This window comes from Homo sapiens, chromosome 10 (assembly GCF_000001405.40).
Source record: "Homo sapiens chromosome 10, GRCh38.p14 Primary Assembly".
Classification (NCBI taxonomy): domain Eukaryota; kingdom Metazoa; phylum Chordata; class Mammalia; order Primates; family Hominidae; genus Homo; species Homo sapiens.
Window position 1 is genome coordinate 86,094,987 of NC_000010.11, and position 22,617 is coordinate 86,117,603.

Genomic DNA, 22,617 nt, shown 5'->3' on the forward strand with positions numbered 1-22,617 from the left:
TAAAAATAGGCACATAGACCAATGGAACAGAATAGAGAAACCAGAAATAAACCCAAATACTCACAGCCAACTGATCTTTGACAAAGCAAACAAAAAAATAAAGTGGGGAAAGAAAACCTCCCTAATTCATTTTCAACAATTGGTGCTGGGATAATTGGCTAGTCACAGGAGGAGAGTGAAACTGAATCCTCATCTATCACCTTATACAAAAATCAACTCAAGATGGATTAAGGACTTAAACCTAAGACCTGAAACTATAAAAATTCTACAAGATAACATTGGAAAAACTCTTCCAGACATTGGCTTAGGCAAGGATTTCGTGACCAAGAATAAAAAAGCAAATGCAATAAAAACAAAGATAAAAAGCTGGGAACTAATTGAACTAAAGAGCTTTTGCATGGAAAAAGGAACAGTCAGCAGCATAAACAGACAACCCACAGAGTGGGAGAAAATCTTCACAATCTATACATCTGACAAAGGACTAATATCCAGAATCTACAACAAACTCAAACAAATCAGTAAGAAAAAAAAATGAACAATCCCATCAAAAAGTGGGCTAAAGACATGAATAAGCAATTCTCAAAAGAAGACATACAAATGGCCAACAAACATATCAAAAAAATGCTCAACATCACTAATGATCAAGGAAATGCAAATCAAAACCACAATGCAATACCACCTTACTCCTGCAAGAATGGTCATAATAAAAAAAAATTTTTTTAAAAGTAGATGTTGGCGCAGATGTGGTGAACAGGGAACACTTCCACACTGCTGGTGGGAATGTAAACTAGTACAGCCACTATGGAAAACAGTGTGGAGATTCCTTAAAGAACTAAAAGTAGAACTACCATTTGATCCAGCAATCGAACTACTGGATTTCTACACAGAAGAAAAGAAGTCATTACTCGAAAAAGATACTTGCACACACATGTTTATAGCAGCACAATTCACAATTGCAAAATCATGGAACCAACCCAAATGCCAATCAATCAATGAGTGGATAAAGAAACTGTAGTATATATATGCAGCCATAAAAAGGAATGAATTAACAACATTTGCAGTGACCTGGATGAGACTGGAGACTATTATTCTAAGTGATGTAATTCAGAAATGGAAAACCAAATGTCATATGTTCTCACTGATATGTGGGAGCTAAGCTATGAGGACACAAAGCCACAAGAATGATACAATGGACCTTGGGGACTTGGGGGGAAGAGTGAGAGGGGGCAAGGGATAAAAGACTACAAATATGGTGCAGTGTATACATGGATGATGGGTGCACCAAAATCTCACAAATCACCACGAAAGAACTTATTCATGTAACCAAATAACACCTGTACCCCAATAACTTATGGAAAAAAAAGAAATAATGGCTGAAGGAGTTGCCCACAACCACAGACTGTTCCAGCCCCACAAATGTTTCCATAGTTTTATCTCCATTAAAGGCACAATCTTGCTCAACCAGTTAATTATACTGGACCACTTCCATCAGAGAAGTGGCAGCATTTTGCCCTTACTGGAATAGCCACTTAGTCCAGATACGGATTTGCTATGCCTGCACACAATGCTTCTGCAAAAGCTACCATCCGTGGACTTATCCTCTGTCACAGTATTCCACACAGCATTGCTACTGACCAGGAAACTCATTTCACAGCCAAAGAAGTGTGGCAGTGGGCTCATGCTAATGGAATTCACTGGTCTTACCATGTTACCCATCATCTTGAAGCAGCCAGCTTGACAGAATGATGGGATAGCCTTCTAAATACTTAGTTACACCACCAGCTAGGTGACAGTACCTTGCAGAGCTGGGACAACATTCTCCAGAAGGCTGTATATGCTCTAAATCAGCACCCAGTATGTGGTACTGTTTCTTCCGTAGCCAGGATTCACGGGTCCAGGAATCAAGGGATGGAAATGGGAGTGGCACCACTTACCATTACCCCAAGTGACCCACTAGCAAAATTTTTGCTTCCTGTTACTGCAACTTTATGCTCTGCTGGCCTAGAGGTCTTAGTTTCAAAGGGACTGTCCTTGGGCAACAACTCCAGGCTTCCCAGCCTTTGGACTCCAGTACTTACCCCAGTGGCCCCCTGGTCTTCAGGCCTTTGGCCTTAAAGTGTGAGTGACACCATCCACTTCACTGGTCCTAAGACCTTCAGACTTGGACTGAGCCACACTACCAGCATCCCAATGTCTCTGGCTCAAAGACAGCCTGTCATGGGACTTCTCAGCCTCCATAATCATGTGAGCCAATCCCAGACGATAGATATATAATAGATGATAGATAGATGAGAGAGGATTTATTAGGGGATTAACAAATATATCGAAAACTGCTAAAACTTCAGTTGTAATCAAAGCAATGCAAATTAAAAGAGGATGCCATTTTTCACCACTCAGTTAAAGAACATGCAGTGCTGGGGAGACTGGTAAAAGGAACACTTTTATCCCCTCTCATCTATCTATCATCTGTCTACCGTCTATCTATCTACCACCTATCTATCCATCTGTCTATCCATCTATCTGTCTACCTATCTATCTAGCTATCTGTCTGTCTATCTATCATCTATCTATCTATAATCTATCTATCTGTATCCTATTGGTTCTCTTTATCTGGAGAACTTTAATACAAACTCAAATAGAAAAATGCCCAGGATATATAGCTAAATGAAAAAAAAATGCATACTATAACACAATCTTTGTTTTAAAAAAAGAATAAATAATAACTATATGACACCATGTATGTGGGAAAAGGTGGACAGATACATATTGAACTCTTGACAGTGGTTATCTCTGAAGAGGGTGAGACAAAGCCAAGTCCACTTTCAACTGCATGTGAATCTATCATGGCTGAAGTTAATATAACTTTCTCTTGTTTTTCAACAGAAGAAAAGCATTCCAATCACTTCTTGAGAAAAAGAGACAGTAATAAATAACCAAATGTGAAACAAAAAAAAATTCCAGACATGAAGAAAATACAATCGAGTGGTTATTTTCCAGCATGGCTTATCTTCAGAAATCATCCCTTTGTTTTCCACAAAGTGGATTTTAGATAAAAATACCACACAAGATAAGTAGTTCTTTGACTCAGTTTTGCTAACCATGGCACCTCTGTTCCAGTGGCATCTGGCCTCCTTTTATATCCTCAAGTCAATGTAGTTACCATATTATGGTTCTGATATGAAAGGAGTACATGCTTACTATTAAAAGGATGATCTTAAATCACTCATATTCATCCCACCATCACACAACCATTGTTAACATTTTCTGTTTTACCTCTTTCCATATTTGGCTTTATGCAAAGATCCCTACAGAATCTTACATAGTTGTAATAAAATATGTGCATTCTTGTGTCTTGCTTTTCCCTTAGAGCCTACACAGTCATCTGATGCGATTTGGCAAGCACTCATCGGTCCCTGCAGGATCCTCTATAACTTGGATACTGTCATTGCCTTAACCACACCCCTAACATTGGCTCCTTAGATTATCACCCATTTTTTATTCAGCTGTTTTGAACAACTTCATGCAGAAAGCTTCCTTAGAATAATCCCTCTGGAGAGACTCCTAGAAATTGAATTACTGGGTCAAAAGGTACAAACATTTTTATAGTTCCAGATACTCATTACTAATTTACCTTCCAGAACATCTCCACCAGGTTACGGGCAAGTGTTCATTTTACCAAAGTCTCCCCAGCACTGCATGTTCTTTAACTGAGTGGTGAAAAACGGCATCCTGTTTTAATTTGCATTGTTTTGATTACAACTGAAGTTTTAGTGGTTTTCCATATGTTTGCTAACAAGCTGCATTTCCTCTTGTGATTTGTTTGATCATGTTCTTTGCACGTTTACCTACTGGAAATGATCAGTGTCATACTTAAGCTTCTCTAAGCCCTCTCTTTTGTCACACTTCTGCTACAACTCCCCTATTTATTGACTGCCATTGATGCCCACTTGAAATAATATTAGTAATAAAATTTCAGACCTAAAGAGCACTCAACACAAGCACACTCTGGTTTGATTTTCACAACCCTCTTCTTTGTAAGACTAATGGGATTCGTAATCCCCATTTTACAGAGCAGAAAGCAAAGGTCCAAAGTGATTACACTGGCTTTTCCAGGGTCACATAACCACTAACCACCAGTGTTGGTACCAGAACTTCTTTCAATTTCAGGGGACAAGGTAGCACAGTGGTTCTGAGTCCACATCTATAACCCAGCTCTGCCATCCCCAGGGATAACAGCAATTTCCTCCTGGGGCAGGTAAGAGTCAAATGAATCATAGATGAGGGGTGCTGAGCACCCTGCCCATGGTGACTGCTCTATAAATCCTTCATTTCACAAACACATGCAGATGCTGTTGGGGCCAAGCATCCTGATGAGCACTGGAAATACAGAGACCAGTAGTTCAGAGTCTGGCAGAGAAAACAGACGAACACACCACTACAAGAAAATCATCATGGCAGGGCCCTCACAGATGTGTGTACAAGGCACCGAGAAGCCACGACCCAGGCCCCTTGTCCCTTCACCAGGGCAGAATCTGCCACTCAAGGTCAAATTCATCTTTCTGAAGTTTCACATTGGAGCACAGTCTGGCTCCTCCAACCCAATGTCATCCATAAAGGGTCACAGACCAAATGAAATGACTCTCATAAATTTCCCCACATCCCATCCATCAAGCCCTCCCTCTGTGACTCTCCCCTGGCAGAAGGGGCCTATGCTTTTCCTGAGCATGTGTGTCTGTGATCTCCTTAGACCAGAGGCCCAGCCATCTGTCCATCCTCAGGGTCCGACTGCTTCAGAGTCTGCAGACAGCAGCTTCTCTGGGGTCTCCATGCACAGGGGCCACTGGTGGCTGGGGGTGGCACAGGACAGCCCTCAGTGTTCCAGAGGCCCTGCATTGCAACTGGCTTCCAGATAACTGGGAGGGGTATCTGGGGCCAACTTCAGCACCCTCATGGGGCTGGGGCTCTAATATCATCAGTTATTTTGACTCCTCAGGGATGCTGGTGCAGGGAAGGAGGCCAGAGCCTGGTAACTAGCATGCAGGAAGGTGTGGGGGCAGCATAGCATGGGGAGAAGTGCATGAGCTTCAGGGCAAAGAGACCCTGACTCACCAAGTGACTCTGGGCAAATAACAGCCTCTCCATGCCTCAGCGCCTTATCTCTGAAGCCAAACTTAAAGCAGATCTGGCTTCAAAGGCTTATTGTGCAAAGTATTGTAATCACACACATAACTGAGCCTTGACTCTCCCAACAGCATGCAGGCTGTAGAATATAAGAGCCTCCAATTACCGAGCACTTCTTGTGTGCAGGACTGTATTTGAAACATGTCTCATATATCATCTCAATAAATTCTTAGCATAACCCTATTCAATCATTTAGTCAAATATCTACTGAGCATTTTTCTTAGGTGCTGGAGATATAGGATTAAAAAAAAAACAAATAAATGTCCTTGTGCTCTGGTGAAACTTACACTCCAGTGAGTGGAAGACAGAAACTAAACAAGATTAATCAATGAAATGTATAATAAGTTATACAGTCAGGAGTGTTAGGAAAGCAATAAAGCAGAGAGGAGGGAGAGAAAATGGCAAGCTGGGGGCTAAAGTTTTCACAGGTTGGTCAGAGAAGCCCTCATTGGGAAGGTGATGGGGACTGTTTGGATTATTGGTAATATTCACTCCCCTCCCTGTAGGTGGCGTATACTGCACAGCTTGACTTGCTGTAGCCAATGGGATGTTAACTGGCATAGCACAAGCAAAAGCTTGAAATGTGCACACGCAGGACGTGTCTTCTTGTGCTTGTGCCATGGCCAAAAGAGAGTGTCTCTTGGGTAGCTGCTGCTCTTCCAATCTTGGCCTTGCCGAGATGCTGGCAAACAGACCCACAGCTGGAAGCAGAGCCCACCAAGCCCAGCCTGGATGAGGCACCTCCACCAACCTGTAGGGTGCATGAGATGCTGGATTCCAGTGAGACTTGAGGCTGTTTGTTATGCACCATTAAATGGTCACTGGTGACTGATAGGGGGACTTTTGGGTAAAGACTTTAAGGAAGTGAGAGAGAAGGGGCTCGTGACTATCTGGAAGTCGATTTTTCCAAGCAGAGAGGAAAACAAGTATAGAGATCCATATGCAGGGGTCCACCTGGCATATTCATGGGACAGCAAGGTAGCCTGGGTGGCTGGAATAACAGATCCAGGAGAGGAGCAGCAGGAGGTGACATCAAAGAGAGGATGAATCAGGTAAGATGTTAGAGGTTGAATGACCGTATAATTTATCACCCTAACTAGGACTTGTTTTTTAAATCAAAGTGTAATTTACATAGCAAAATGCATTATTTTGAATGTATAATCTTATGAGTTTTATAAACTTAGACAGTAATGTAACCAACACCATAATCAAGATACGGAACAGCTCCATTGCCCACAGCAATTCCTTATGGCTCTTTGTAGTGAATCCTCCTATCCCTAGGCCTGGAAAACACCAATGAGTTTTCTGCCCCTATAGTTTTGCCAATCAGGAACATCACATAATTGAAATTATGGAGTATGAGGCCTCTTGAGTGCAGCTTCTGTCACTCAGCATATGCTTTTGAGAATTATCTCATGTTGCTGTATGTAACAGGAGTTTGTTCCTGGTTTGTTTTTCATTATTCCTTTTTTTTTTTTTTTTTGAGACAGAGTCTCACTCTGCTCTGTTACCCAGGCTAGAGTGCAGTGTGGTGCAATCATAGCTCACTGCAGCCTCAATCTCCTTGGCTCAAGAGATCCTCCCACCTAAGCCTTCTGAGTGGCTGGGACTACATGGCATGCACTATGCCTGGCTTGGCTAATTTTATTTTATTTATTTATTTTTTTGTAGAGACAGAGTCTCATTATGGGGCTCAGGCTGGTCTCAAACTCCCTTTTTAATGCTGAATAATATTCCATTGTATGGCTGTACCACAGTTTGTTATCCATTCACCAGCTGAAGGACATTGGGATGGTTTCCAGTTTGCGGTTATTACAACAAAGCCGCTATAAGCATTCACAAAGAGCAAACCAGGATGATTCTGAGAACGAATATTTCTTCTGGAACAAAAGGCATAAGTGGGGACCATCCCTCATAGACCAGGAAGTGTGTTCGCCCTGCTTTGTCCACACAGGGACTCCAGCTATAACCCCAGTGAGACAGGAAGACTCTGAGCAGGGTAATGACATGATCAGCTAGAATTTTAACAGGCCACTCTGGCTGCCTCAGAATGACAAGCTGCATGGAGCAAGGTGAGAAGCAGGAAGGCAGGTCAGGAGGCTGATGCCAGCAATGGCTTAGACCAGGGACATAGCCATTGGGGTGGTGAGAAGTAATCAGAATCCAGACACATGGTGTCAGAACTGCTAATGGACTAATTATGAGGGGCATGAGGAAGAAGCAGCAAAGACAGCATCAAGATGTTGGGCCTGGGCAGCTGAAGAAAGGGTCACAGGCCCATTTCACAGAGATGGCTTAGTGTGGACAAGGCATTACCCCATGCCCACTCATTGACAGGGAAAACTGGGGCTGGTGTTCCAGAGCCCTGCCCGGCGCTGCCACACCATTTGCTTTATGTTAAACAGAGAATAATCATTCTTCCTCTAAGGAGGAATGCAGGCCTGATCCCCACAACATAAATGTGCCCAGTCCTGGAAAGGCCCTACCTGGGAGCAGTGCCAAGAGGCCCAGGGGACGGGAGCCAGGCCTCCCCAGCCATGTGGAACCGTGAATCTATTAAACCTCTTTTTCTGTTCAAAACCAGACTGCGAGGCCTATGGAAGGGCAGGTGATATGGTTTGGCTGTGTCTCCACCCACATCTCATCTTGAATTGTAGTGCCCATATTCCCCACATGTCATGGGAGGCACCCAGTGGGAGGTAATTGAATCATGAGGGCAGGTTTTTCCCAAGTTGTTCTTGTGATAGTGAATAAGTCTCATGAGAACTGACAGTTTTATAAAAGAACAATTCCCCTGCAGACGTTCTGTTGCCTGCTGCCATGTAAGACATGCCTTTGCTGCTCCTTCACCTTCTGCCATGATTGTGAGGCCTCCCTAGCCATGTGGAACTGTGAATCCATTTAACCTCTTTTTCTTTATAAATTACCCAGTCTCAGGTATTTCTTCATAGCAGTATGAAATGGGCTAATACAGCAGGAAAGCAAGAGGACAAAGTCAGCATGGGCAAGCAGAAGGGGCTGGCAGCTATGACCACACCCCTCACTGGTCAGCCCACTAAGCCCCTGTGTGCAACAGAGGTGGAGCCAGGATAGAGGACAGCACCAGAGTCGGCTGCCACTCTGCCACCTGAGGCTGACCTCCTGGGGCCAGAGACCAGAGCTGGCCATCAATTCCCTATAGGGCCCAGGTGGGGAATTCTGAGGCCCTCAGTCATTCCCTGTGAGCCTGTGATGAGGCCCGCAGTTCCCTGCCACCCTCTCAGCCTCAGCTTAGTGCCCAGGGCTAGATTCACATTATGCCATGTAAGGAGGCTCAACTGCACCCCCAGGCCACAGGCCTAGGCTCCCCCAAGCAAGCGTCAGCCATGGGAGCTGGAGCCCATGTGGACAAGCAGTGAAACTGCAGACAGGCCCCGGAGGAAGAGGACTCCCGATGCTGCTTATGTAATGCCTTCTTAGGGGACAGGAACAGGCTCCCCTTCATTCCACAGCATCTCACGTTCTGCTCCAGCCATGGCTCTTAAACGTTTGCCACAGTGGGGGGCCCTTAGGAAAGGTGTGTGCCTTGTACCTCAAGGGTAGCAAGGACAGAGGGTAAGGCCACCCTGGGACACTGCCCACCTCCCCTGGCCCAACCATGTCACGAGAGAGAGAGAGAATCATTACTAACCACTGTTGGGCTGAACCCTGCACATGGGGCAATCAATCAGTCATCCAGTGACAGATGCTGGGCACAGCCCTCATGGTGTTGCCTCCCAATCTCATTCATCACAACTGTTCCTCCTGGCCTCAGGAGGACAGCTCCCCCTGCCGCACTTCCCTCATAAGCATGGCTCTCTGATGTGGCCTTCAGACTCTCTTCAGCTACACACATGTGTAAGGGTGCACATGTGCATACTTGTTCCAGTCTGGCAGAGAGGTAGGTGCCTTATCCCACGGGGTAGGCACCACTCCACTCTCTGCCCACCCTGTTCTTTAACAAGAACAGGCTTGGAGACATACGGACCAGGGTTCAAATCCAAACCTGGCAGGTAGAAGGGGCTAGTTCCTCTTGCAAAGCTGCTGGCCAGCCCAGCTCAGAGCTCAGGGTGCAGTTGGGACCCCAGACCCAACCACGCCTGCTCTGTGAAGTTCCCTCCAACTCTGGAAGCCAGGCCTCAGCAGGTGCAGGGGTGGCCAGACACCCACGAGAAGGCCCGGCACAGGCATCCCACACCTGTTTCCTCCAACCCACGAGGGGCACAACTCACACCCACTTGCTTAGCCAGGGCATAGGATTCCCTCCCAGGGTAAAGGTCCCTGCTGCAAGGATGGCCCAGACAGGTGCATGCCCACCATGCTCAGTGCTTCACAAGGCCCCCAGCCCTAGCTGGCAGCAGACAGGCAGCATGACACAAAGGGAGCACCAGCTCCTCTGCGGCCAGAGAACATTTCCATGCCATACATCAGGGGCAATCCTCGGCAGACTGAATGCCCAGAGTCATTCCTGCCTTGTTCCATAGGGCCTGGCCCAGCTGCCCCACCCTCCAGGCCCTCAGGACCACAGGGCTCTGCCTCTGTCCCTTCAATGTTGGACACAAACCCACACCCTAGCATGCACCATGGTCAGGTCCAGCTGAATTCAGCCTGGTATCTTATTCCCAGGACCCGGCCTGAGACAGTGCACTGGACCTTCATGCATGGCCGATGAAGTGCCTAGGGTGTGCGACAGCGGACAGGGGGGCAAAAGGTACAGCATTGAGAGCAGGAAGCCAGTGAAGCCTGCAGCAGGTGACAAGGCTGTGACAGGCCTCGTGCCCCCATGTGCCTCCACTTGCTGTGGAGATTAATTCACCTGACAAATCAATCCTACCCACTTCTGACTTCATTACATAGTCACATAATTACACACAAGTTTGGGATTTTTAAGGAAGTGATTTACGGTGGCTCTGAAGATCTGGACAGGGTTAGTGCCATCCTCTTTCCCAGGAAGTTGGAGAAGCACTTTTCAATTTAACGAGCCATGTTTTCTCAAGAACTGTTACCCCAAATACCTGAGGAAAGAGCTGCATGAAATAGGCACTGGGATAGCTTCAGTCTGCCCAAGAAGACAGTGAGGGTGGGCAAGGTTATGCCTGTCCATTAAGGCCTGGAGTGTGCCCACCACAGAGACCAGGAAACTGAGGCCCAGAGGGTGTAGCGCTCTGGCCAAGGTCTCACAGTTGTGGAGCACAGAGCCGGTCAGAAGCATGGTCTGTCTGTTACAGATGCCCTGTTTGATTCTGCACCACGCTATCTCTTCAGAACACACAGCACTGGCTGTTCTTGCCTCCTGTGGCTCTCACACAATTCCCACACTTGAGTCCTAGCCTTCTGAGGCACACATCTAGATTGGGTGGGGAACACGCTCTTCAATGAAAGCAGAGCCCTAGGGGCCAGCTGCCCCTCCCCAGCAGTGTCCGGGGCACACGGAGCCTTCATTCCCCATTCAGCAAGCACTGAAGCCTCTTCTGTGTGCCAAGCACCAGAGCCGGCACTGTGGAGAGAAAGATGCCATCCCCCCTCTCCAGCAAAGGTTGGAATCTAGGGGAGAGATTGACATCAGTCAAATAAGCCTGTGACAGACAGATCATTGCAGAGTGAAGTCTGCACCCTGAGGGAAAAGCACGGGCACTGTGCATGTGTCTAACTGGCCTGGGCACCACAGGTCACCCAGGAATGCTGCCCTGAGGAGCCGCGATGGGGAGAGGAAAATGATGGTAGAGTTAGCATGGTATGCAAGGGGGACAAGAGGATGGGGGCTGCTTCAGGGAGAGGAAGCCTTGTGAGAGAAGATGTTGGAAAGGCCAGTGTTCCCAATTGCAAAGGAGGATGATGATATCCACTGCTCAGCATGGCAGTCAAGACCACGGTCTTGGGGACCATGAGCTCCAGGGTCTGAGAGCTCCCCAAGTGTCTGTCCTTCCCTGACCCTTTGCTCCTGCTCTAGGAAATTTCCTGTCAGCAATAATCCAAATGAGAAAAATCAAACACTGCACATGCAGGTTTACACTGAACACCGTCAAAAAAAAATTGAAGATTGGAAACAGTCACAATGTCCAACAACAGGAAACATTAGGTAGGGTATGCAATAACAATTCTTCATCTCAATGCAATCACTAAAAATGACGATTAGAAAGGCTTTGCAACCACACAGGAAATGTTTATCCCAGGATGTTAGGTCAAAAAAGCAAAACACAAAATCTCATCTAGATTATGGGATGGAGGGAGGGGCCAGCTTCAGGTGTGGGAATACAGGGAGGTTCTGGCTTCAGGTGTGGGGATGGAGGGAGGGGCCTGCTTCAGGTGTGGGGATGGGAGAATGGGCCTGCTTCAGGTGTGGGGATGGGAGAATGGGCCTGCTTCAGGTGTGGGGATAGAGGGAGGAGCCTGCTTCAGGTGCGGGGATGGGAGGAGGGAGCCTTGAGTTCAAGTCAAACATTTCTTCCTGGGCTGCACACTTGGGCCAAGTCATTCACTTCTCTGATTCCTGATCATCAGAGATGATCAGGAATGTGCAGTGAGAAGAGGGGTCTTGGTGAGGTGCACGGGCATGTCTACGGAAGCAAGGGAACGAAGGGCAGGACTGCATGGCCGCTGGCAATGGAGAGTTCCGGGAATGGGCAGGCTCCAGGATGAGGCCGTTGGAGGTGGCGGCTAAGATGGGATAGAGAATGGAGCTGGGGAGGTGAAGGAGCCCAGGGGTGAAGAGGAAAATGAATTGACAACAAGGAGGAGGTGAGGAGAGAGGTGAAGTTCTACGAGAGAGGACTTCTAGATCAGAAGCCTAGATGGGTCTTTGTGGTGACAGAATCCAGACTCCTGTGGAGAGTGAGGGCCAGACCTGCCTACGGAGAACACCAAGTGACACAAATCCTGCATGACAAGTCTAGGAAAAGGAAGCTTTCCCAGTGCAGGCACAGCAGGAAAGCCCAGCCTGGAACCCAGATATTAGGCCTGGTGACAGCTCACTGAGTATTAGCGCTTTGCCTTAGGTGGCACCACGGCACACCTGCATCCTATCCAGGTGCCTTCTTCTCACTGCCCGATAGCTGCTCTGGGAGGGAACCTGGAGCCCTGTGGCCCTGCCCTGGCCCAAACAGCTATTCTGCTGGAGACCTTTGACTGCTGGAGGTGTGCCCTGATAACAATGCACAGCCATGAGGACCGTGATCTGAAGGGCGTCCCTTGGCAGGTACGATGTACAAGCCTCACAAATGTCAGTGGCAAACCCCACAGGGTGGCCCAAACCTTGGCCTAGTTATATTGATACAGGAGGTGGGAAGGGAAGGGCATGGGCCCTTTAAATGATACAGAATGGGGGAAGGGAAGGGTGTGGTCCCTGGCTAGGGCTCCACTCCCTGGCCTGTGCCCATGGACCTAAGTGAAGACAGGCATTTTTGTTTTCCTGCCCAAATGTTGCATTTCCCAAGACCTCCCCTGGCCTGCCATGCCCCTATCCTGTGCCCATAAAAATGCTGAGACCCTAACAGGCAAACACACAGGCAGCTGAATATTGAGAGGAGCTCATCATCGGGGGAACACACAGGTGGCTGGACATCGAGAGGAGCACTTCAGCAGGTACCGGGAGGCCAGCCAGCCACTGACCAGCAGAACAACGCAGAATTTGGCCAGGGCACTCAGAGGAGAACCCAGGCTGCCAAACAACCCAACTCCAGGGGAAAACCATCTCCCTTCTTGCTCCCCCATCTGCTGAGAGCCACTCCCACTCAATAAAACCTTGCACTCATTCTCCAAGCCCACGTGTGATCCAATTCTTCCAGTACATGAAGGCAAGAACCCGGGATACAGAGAGCCCTTTGTCCGTGCGACAAGGTAGAGGGTCTAATTGAGCTGGTTAACACAAGCCGCCTACAGACAGCAAACTAAGAGAGCACCCTGTAACACATGCCCACTGGGGCTTCAGGAGCTGTAAACATTCACTCCTAGACATCGCCATGGGGTCGGAGCCCCACAGCCTGCCCGTCTGTATGCTCCCCTAGAGGTTTGAGCAGCGGGGCACTGAAGAAGCGAGCCACACCCCCATCGCACACCCTGCGAGGGGGACAAGAGAACTTTTCCCACTTCAATATAACCTCTTTGCATCCAGCTTCCCCCAGTAAAACAGAGATTTTAACAAAACCCTACCTTGTGGAATTTAGGGGATTCGACAAGATAAACAAAAAAAGTGCTCAGAAAAGTGGTAAGCCTCAAAAGGTTATTAGCTGTTATTATTCTGCGTGCTTGGAATGGAGCTTTGTCCTATTTTTCTCCTCTGGGACTGGAAACTTCCATGACAGAAGGTGTTCACACATGCATGCACATACACATGCACACCCACACATGTGCACACAGACATGTATACACAATATTCCAGAAGGAGCTCCATCTCCCCAAAAGAGCAGAATCCCTGGGATGGAGCAGTGCCAGCCCTCACATGCCATCCCCAGCACCAGACTCTGCTCTGCTTTTCTCCTTGGGATTGTTTGCATTTCCTTATCTGCCTCCCTTCTAGTCTTTCTGATTTCCCACTTCCTTTGATTTGCAGGTCCTATGTTTAACAAGAGAGGTCTTTGATCACTTTCAGAATTTCACCAGCATGTTTTGAAAAAGGCCCAGGCACCTAAGGGCACACCAATGCCTGTGAGTCTGGCAGTTGTGTTTCGATCACTCAGTTTTCCTGAGTTGTCTTAGGGCAGACCCCACCGAGGTTGGCTATCATAAGTGCCCACCCTGTCCGGCTTCCCTCTCCGAGCCCCTCCCCAACCCATGCCATCCCTAGCGTGTGCTGCCTTCACTGAGTTCTCACTGCAGCCCAGCCTGCACACCTCCCACATTAAAGAAACCCAAACATTCGTTCCACCTTCCCTTCATCGACCTTTTCTTCTGTTCTCCTGACCCTTTTTTAAGCAAACGTTCTTCCAGCTGTGGTTATAGATTGAGTATATTTCACAATATGTATCTGCTCTCCTGTTTATCTTGCTTCAAGGTAGTTTCCCTCCTCTGTAAGCCAAAACAACCATTCCCTTAACTCCAGCGAGGGCCTCAGCCTAGCAGCTAATAAGACATGGTGAACAACAGAAGGAAAGAGCAAATCTGACGTGCAAAGAAAATGAAACACTGAGTGTTCAGAAGATGATATGCTCCCGCCACCGCCCAGGGTGAACAAGGCTTACAAAACTCAGCACAGGTCTTGAGCCCCCAACACAAGGGGCCTTGTTAATGGGCTCTAGGAATTGCTGTCATCAGGCTGAGGAACAATGGCCTGCCTCAACATCTCAGTGGCCAAACAGGGCTCTCTCCAAGCCCATGCTGGCTCCCTCTCATGTCTCAACTCCACAGGACAACCACACACATTGCTTTGTGCCAGGTTGCCACTGCAGGCACACCCCAGCTATAAGCCAGGCCTGCCATTGGACATAGCATGATAGTCAGGTCGCAGAAGGCCTCTCTATGTCATCAGATCATCTGGGGAGATGTTTAAGCATCTCATTGACTGGCCTCCTCCCTAGGGATCTCACTTAGTTGGTCTAGATGGGATCTGGGCCTTGATCCTAACTGAAAGCTCTCCAGGTGATTCTAACCTGCAGGCCAGGATGAGACCATGGGCTTTCAAGAGCTGGAACTCTAGAGGAAGATGGCTGGGGTCCAAATCCTGCTTCTGTGGTCCAGCCTCACTAGGCTTCAGTGTCCTCAGTTACAGCACTCCTCATAGGTAAAGAAAAAAATGCATGTCAAGGGCCTAGCACAAAGTAAGCATTCAATAAATCTTAAACTCTGCCATTCTTTTTTTTTTTTTTTTTTTGAGGGGGAGTCTCACTCTGTCACCCAGGCCGGAGTGCAGTGGAGTGATCTTGGCTCACTGCAACCTCTGCCTCTCGGGTTCAAGCAATTCTCCTGTCTCAGCTTCCTGAGTAGCTGGGATTACAGGCACGTGCCACCACGCCTGGCTAATTTTTTATATTTTTAGTAGAGACAGGGTTTCACCATATTGGTCAGGCTGATCTCGAAATCCTGACCTCAGGTGATCCACCTGCCTCGGCCTCCCAAAGTGTTGGGATTACAGGCATGAGCCACCGCCCCCGGCCTTCCATTCTTTATTCACCCCCTGGGTCACCCATCCCAGGTCCACTTCTCTCCCTGCTCTACCATGTGGCTCTGCTTTTTAGAGAGAAATGGAAAGGGCTGCTGGGTCTGTCTGTGCTGGCTGGCCCAGGAAGAGGGGAAGATGGCTTGGGGCAGAACACCTGCCACAGGCCTCTTTGAACACCTCCCTACAGCAGCCACCTATTGAGAAGGAGGGCACCATTGCGAAGAGGCAATGGGGGGAAAGCTGGGCATCAGGGGGACTTCCAGCCTCTACCACCCAGAAGCCTGGGGCTCACTACTGCCCTCCTTAGGCCATCACTGAGATGGCCATCCCAGGACCAGGCTTAGCATTCCATGTCTGCTCTCAGGCACCACTCTTCTTCCCCTCTTTCCCAGCTGTAACGTTGGGAAAGAGGCTAGCCCACAGCTTTCATCCTAACAAAACTTGGAAAGAGTTAATCAGATGAGGTGGGCACCCCAGAAGACCCTCAGGTTCAGAGTGTCCATGTGTGTCAATGTAAAGAAAGAATTAACACAATAAAATTTAACAACCAAATAAAATTCTTCACTCATTGATTCATGTGCTTATTCAGTAAACAATTCTAAGAGCCTCCTCTATGCCAGGCACAGATTTGCTGGATGTGGAGAATGCAGACACAAATAAAGCCCAGCGTATCAGTTAGTAATTGCCAAAATAATGCTGCATAACAAACAACTCAAAACTCAGTAGCTAAAACAAGCATCATCTATTCACACAGATTTGTGGGTTGCTTGGGCAGATCTGCTCCTCACTGCAAGTTTGTAGCTCAGCTCAGTGGCTCCTGTAGGCCCCTTATGTTTCTCATCTGCCTTGGACCAGTAGATTTTCAAGAACATGAAGGTGATAGAAACTCAAGAGGACAGGTGGAAACATCCAATATCTCTTTTTTTTACCCAGGCTCAGAACTGGAAGTTTGTCATCTCTGCCTACATGCCCTTGGCCACAGCAAGTCACAGGGTTTTTAATTCCCTACTAAAATCCACCCACCATGAGAACATAGCAAGCATGTGGATGCAGGGCTGTGTGAGGAACTTGGGGCAACCATCCAATCAACCATGCCCAGCCACTGACCTTAAAGACCTCCCCCTGGCCTGGATAGAGAAAGCAATGCATCAGGAATAGTTGCAACACAACATGATTTTGCCCCAATCACTGAAGTTATTTGGGATCCAGAGTATTTTCTAGCCTGAAAGATACCTGTATGTATCTCAGGGAAGGACACCTGTTCCCTGATATATGTGTTCTATAAATTAAACTGGGCAAGAGCTGTCACTCACTTAACAGGTGGAATATAAGGGACTTGGAGGGATAAAGGGGTTAACCCAAGCTACATTCAACTGCCTTCATTATTATTTGCACCTGGTGAAAGTGTTCACATGAAAGAGGATGAGGATCTGGTGTTCACAGCTTCCCAGGCTAACAGATATCAGTGTTTGGCTGGTCCAATCAGTCATGCCATTGAAGGAAGTCAAAGAACTCAACCTGATAGGAAGAGGCACTGAGGATTAGGTGCAGCCTTAACCTGCTGGAAAGTGCCATTGTTTGCAAAGAAATAGAATCTCTGGATGACATTCCATGGTCTGGGAATACTACAGACGTTGTCTTTTCCAAGTCCTCCAGGAATCTAATGAGGTGTAGTCTCCACCCGACAATAAAGACATGGGCCACCATGAGGCTACAGTCCAGGCCCAGAGTCCCACACTGGTGAGTGGCTGAGGCAAGGCTGCAGGTAGGCACTTTCAGGTGTAAGACCTGAGTTGCCACAAAGTGTCTTAGATGACTCAACACAGGAGTTGTCCAAGTCATCCCAGGTGAGGACACAGCACCTCATCCCTATGACTAGGGACAGGGGACACAGTGCTGGGACCTAGGACCCCAGGTCAAGCCAGGCCAGCCAGGAGCAGGCAGGCTTAGCAGAGATTCCTCACGCCACATCTGCAGGATGAGGCGTGGCCCAGCTCTGTCTCAAAACCTCCTGGAACTAATCTCATTGGCCAGTCACAGGGATATGTATTCTCTTCCCAGCTCCTCAAGTGAACATCTGTTTTTCTCAAAGCTGTGAATGTCACGTCAAGAATCTCCAATTACCTTCCCCTTGGTTTTATTTAGCATCAGTGTACTGGAGGCATAATTAGTCTGAGATGAAAACCTGTATTGTTCCCTTCTCCTCAGCAATGAAATAGGTTCCAAATGTGCTAACAGAGAGGATCCTTCTCCAAAAATGACAAACAGCAAGTGAAGGATGAAAGCAAGAGTGAAATACAGATTAATGACAACTGCGGCCGAGCAGGGGTGGGGGTGGGGGTTGTGATTGTGGTGTCTGCCAGGGGGCTCCTGCTGCAAATCTCACCTCCTCCTCGGCTCCTAATGAGGACGGGCCTTCTCCACAACACAAAAGTGATGCTGATGAAGATGAAAGAGCAATTTCCACTGATATGTTTTCTAACGATACATCATGAGAACCAAGGCAACTCCAGGGACTGCTGATGAGATGGTGTCATGCAGCATTCTTCTCCCTGTGAGCCTGGCCATGCTCACAGCCTGGGGGCTTTGGCTGAGGGATGCATGTTTTGCATTGGCCAGGATTACCCAAAATTAGGGGGGAAAAGATGCACACAAAGTTTATGAGTAGAAGACACCCCTAGAAGTTGGGTATTTAAAGTACCAAGACTCAGAAGCCCTCAATGACCCAGCCTTTGCCAGAGACTAGACCTTTAGCCTCCGATTTGTCCAATACTTGTTAAAGTGAGGCTTTAAGGGTCTTACTCATCTGATGCATGCAATGATATTTGTTCTGCTTTCATGCTTGCCTTCTTAAAGACTCTTCACAGATCAGCCAGAGGGTTCACTAAAGAGGAAATGGGTCATGTCATTGCCCTATACAAACCCTCCAATGACTTCCCATCACACTTAAAATAGAACCCCAACTCCTCGTCTAGCCCACATAACCCCAGGTGGCATTCTCTCACCCACCTCTCTGACCCCACCATGCTGCTGCCTCCCCTCCTTTCATTAAGCTCAAGCCACACAGGCATTCTCTCTCTGTTCCTCTAACAGGCCAGCTTTAATTCCATCTTGGGACTTTTGCAATGGTAAAGGTCTCCCTTACAAAAGCAAAGGCCTTCTCAGGCCTGACTCCAGCAATCAGATGTTAGCTGAAAAGTCAGAGTGGTCACATAGCCGAAAGTAGCCCCAGTCATGTCTCATTACATGGTTCTGTTCTAATTCCTTACAGAACTCTTCACCACATGATATTATTTTGCTTTTTTGCCTCTCCCTCTCTCACATAAAATGCAAGTTCCATAGGTGTGGTGGCCTCGCCTGGTTTACCCCCTGCCAGACCCCCACACCCTGCAGAGCTTCAGGGCATCTGACACACAGGAGGTGCTCAGTAACTACTGATGAACTCAGGCCAGTGGGTGAGCTGGTGGGGCTGGGCTCATCAAGAAGACCACAAAGTTCATGCATCTATCTTCAGATAACCGAGGGGCTGACGGGAAAAGAAAGTAAAATTGCCGTGTAGCCCAAGAACACCCATCCAGAACTAATGGGTAGAAGCCACAGGACAGCTTTTGCCTAACATAAGGTAATTTTCTCACTTCAAGCTACCCAACAACAAAATAGGTTTCCTTAATCGATGGTGAGTTCCCCATGTGCAGAGGTTTGTAAGCAGAGGCCACTGCTGGAGCCTGTGTAGTGGAGAGATGAGCATCCTTCTAAGCACCTGAGTCCACAGCATTCACATTGGTTTCCTCCATCTCGGTGGGATCATAACCCCCTGAAGGAGGGTGGGGCCTCATTCCCCAGCAGGGGCTCTCTGCACAGGGTGGGGCGGGGGTGTCAGATGGAGCACAGGTGTCCACCAGACATGGAGTGCAGTATACGTTCCTGGCTCCTGTTAAGGGGTAAGCTGGAGGCTCCAGGCCAGGCTAAATCCATGGGGCCACCATGTGGAGGCAGGCACCTTCCTGGAGGGACTAACCTTGTGGTCTATGCTTTCCTCCAGGGACACAAGCCTGGGGAGTGGACAGGGAAGGCAGTGGAGAGGTGGCAGTCAGGGAACACCACAAACTGCCCTCTAACTGTTCCTCTGCCAGTGCTCCCACAGCCCTGTGAAGGAGAACATGACTTCCATCCCACAGATAAGAAACTCAGGGCTCAGGAAGGTCACATTATTTGTCCAAGTCCTACAGCGGGTCTGGGAGATGCTGGGAGTTGCGCTCACATCTGACTGATGCCACAGCCTGCATTCTTGACAGCTTGACCCCCGAAGGTCAGGCAGCTCCCCTCAGACTGCAGACCTGCCAGTTGGAAACATTCTCAACTCCTCCTGTCTTTCCCTCTCCCCTGTCTTCTGAGAAAAGGAAGCCCCTTAAACCTCCTAGATCAAGCCCTAACTGGAACCCCACTGAGTTCCGCACTCTGTCATCTGACACAGACCTATTCGGAGGGAAACTGGTAGAACCAGAGCATTGGCAGGCTCCCACCTCCCAGCATTAGCAGGCACAGAGCTGTGATGCCACAGTCTCCTCCAGGGCATGGCTCCATCATAAACCTGCATTTCCATCACCCAGTACAGGTACTCTCACAGGAGGCACTCAGCAGGGATGTAGTGACAGCAGGTAAGAATCCACCTCTCTCCCTGCCTGCTCCTGGGATCCAGTATTGGCCCATGTATCTTCCCCATTTCCTCAGGCTTCCTGGACTTTTGTTGGAGGGAAAGAGGAACAGAAAGAGGAGCAGGCAGGAGAAGCAAGAGCTCCCGGGGGCTATGAAAGGTAACATACCTGGAGAGTTTGGGGAGATGGCGGCTTGTGAGAGACAAGGGGAAGAGACAGAAACAGGAGTATTCTAAGAAGCATGGCTGTGAGTTATGAAAAGGATCCTCTTTGACATTCTTCAAAGAACACCAGTAAAGGATTGCTTTGCATGCCACTACTTTCTTTTTCTAATGTGACTCTACATAGACATTGAGGCACCACTGCTGCATGAGGCACAACTACTTATATTTGGATTACAAATGAATGAAACAATAGATGAATGAATGAATGAATGAATGAATGAACAGATGAATGAAAACTTGGAATCCACTGTTCAGTTCCCTAAGTCCCAAGTCTCTCCTGCCTATGTTAAACACGATAGCAGCTAACACCCCTAGGTAAATGTGCTAGGCACACCTTTAAGTGCTCTACATGTCCTAACTTCTTTAATCTGCCACCTACAAGGTAGGTAATCTCATTACCCCCATTTTTCAGGTGAAAAAAGTGAGGCATTCACCTAAGGTTCTACAGTTAGTAAGAGGTGATTAGACAGAATTCCAACTCAAGCCTGGGTCCTGACCCATTTGCTTAGCCATTCTGCTAACCCGTGAGGTGATCTACTTGCCTAAAAGGACCGACAGAGCCAGCGACCCCAGCACACAGGGCCAGCCCCATCCCAGCTGCTCCTGGCAGAAGGAGCCTGCTGGTCTATTACCTGGGAGGCCAAAACATGTGTACGATCAGGCACTGCTTAACAACATTTCAGTTAACCATGTACTGCATCTAAGACAGTGGTCCCAGAAGATTATATTGCTGAATTTTTACTGTACCTTTTCTGTTTAGGTGTGTTTAGATATACATATACCATTAGATATACAAATACCACCGTGTTACTATTGCATTCGGCACAGTCCCATGCTATGCAGGTTTGTAGCATAGGAGCGATAGGCTGTACCATAAAGCCTAGGTGTGTTGTAGGCTGTACTGTCTAGGTTTGTGTAAGTACACTCTATGGGGTTCGTACAATGATGACATCGCCTAACAATGCATTTCTCAGGATGTATCCTCATCGTTAAGTGATGCGTGACTGTATGTCTTCTAATAGCTCAAGAGTAAACAGCAGAAATATCAACCAAGTGCAGTTGTCACTTTCTTGGCTGTAGTCAGTAAGTGCTTACAAAATTTTATTTCACACAAACAATAAAATAACATGAAAAATAAGTATCTGGAAAACATTGAGCCTGGAGTGTTAAGGCCAAGGCACATCTGCAATGCCTCTACCCCTAGAATCTGTCAGGCACATACTCAAACAGCAACAAGGCTGCTCTCTCCCGCAACTCCCCAGATGAGCACTCAGGGAGGAGCCCAGGGTGAGAAGCTGCCCTTCCCAAACAGCTGGAAGGATCAGGTGGCCAACTTCAACTTGTCTTAGAGAGAGGCCAAAGGGTCAGAGGCTGCTTGTGGGAGAACGATGGCCATCCATAAGTGGTAGACTTCTCTAGGGCTGAGAGTACCTCTGACTCATCTATTTCCAGAGGTGAGCCCTAGATCTGACACACAAGCAAAAGGCAACATGCAAAAAATGATTGTGGGGTTGACTTGAATTTAATTAAGTTAAATCAAATGCCCCCCACCACCACCATTTATGGGGAGAGGAGCACCAGCAGCCTGAGGACAGACTATGTGGCCAGGGGCTAAGGCTCACCAACAGGGAACCCAAGCCTTATTCACCTGCCAGCCCAGAATGTAGCACAAGCCTTCAATCCACCACCAAATAAATTGTCCCTTAGAGCCAGGTCCAGAGAGGCAGAGGTGGCCCAAAGAATGATTCTCAGGGAAATTTTGAGTCCTCTCCTGCTAGCCTGTATACCACCACCATCACTGCAATCACTATCACCATCACAACCTTCATCACCATCACCACCATCATTACCACAATCACCAATACTACCACCATCACCATCACCACCATCACCACTACCATTGCCACCACCACCAATAACAACACCTTTACCACCACCACCATTACCACCACCACCATTACCACAATCAGCAATACTACCACCATCACCACCAACATCACCATCACCAACACCATTACCAGCACCACCAATAACACCATCACTACCATCATCATCACCACCACCACTACCATCACTATCACCATCAGCACTACCACTATCACCACCACCAGCACTAACACCAACACCATCACCACCATCACCACCATCATCACAGCAATCACATCACCACCATCATCACCACCACTACCACTAACACCATTACCACAATCACCAACACCATCATGATCAACACCAACATCACCACCAACACCATCACTATTACCACCACCAATACAAACACCATCCTACCACCACCACCATTCCCATCACCAACAATAACAACACCATCACCAGCATCATAATCACTATCACCACCACCACTACCATCACTATCACCACTACCATCATCACCACTGCCATCACCACTGCTATCACTATCACCACCATCATCAACATCATTATCATC

The 22,617-nt window shown here is 47.8% G+C and overlaps 1 protein-coding gene across 1 annotated transcript in view, besides 1 other annotated feature; it reads right to left on the reverse strand.

Moving 5' to 3' along the window:
* Positions 1 to 22,617, reverse strand: part of GRID1 (glutamate ionotropic receptor delta type subunit 1) — a 767,244-nt gene that overhangs the window by 495,435 nt on the left and 249,192 nt on the right. The window lies entirely within an intron of this gene.
* Positions 9,558 to 10,058: an enhancer, noted in NCBI's record as "H3K4me1 hESC enhancer chr10:87864301-87864801 (GRCh37/hg19 assembly coordinates)". NCBI's record gives its function as "activates a minimal SCP1, AML or CMV promoter by ChIP-STARR-seq in primed H9 embryonic stem cells {active_cell/tissue: H9 hESC(primed)}" and the evidence as "EXISTENCE:reporter gene assay evidence [ECO:0000049][PMID:30033119]".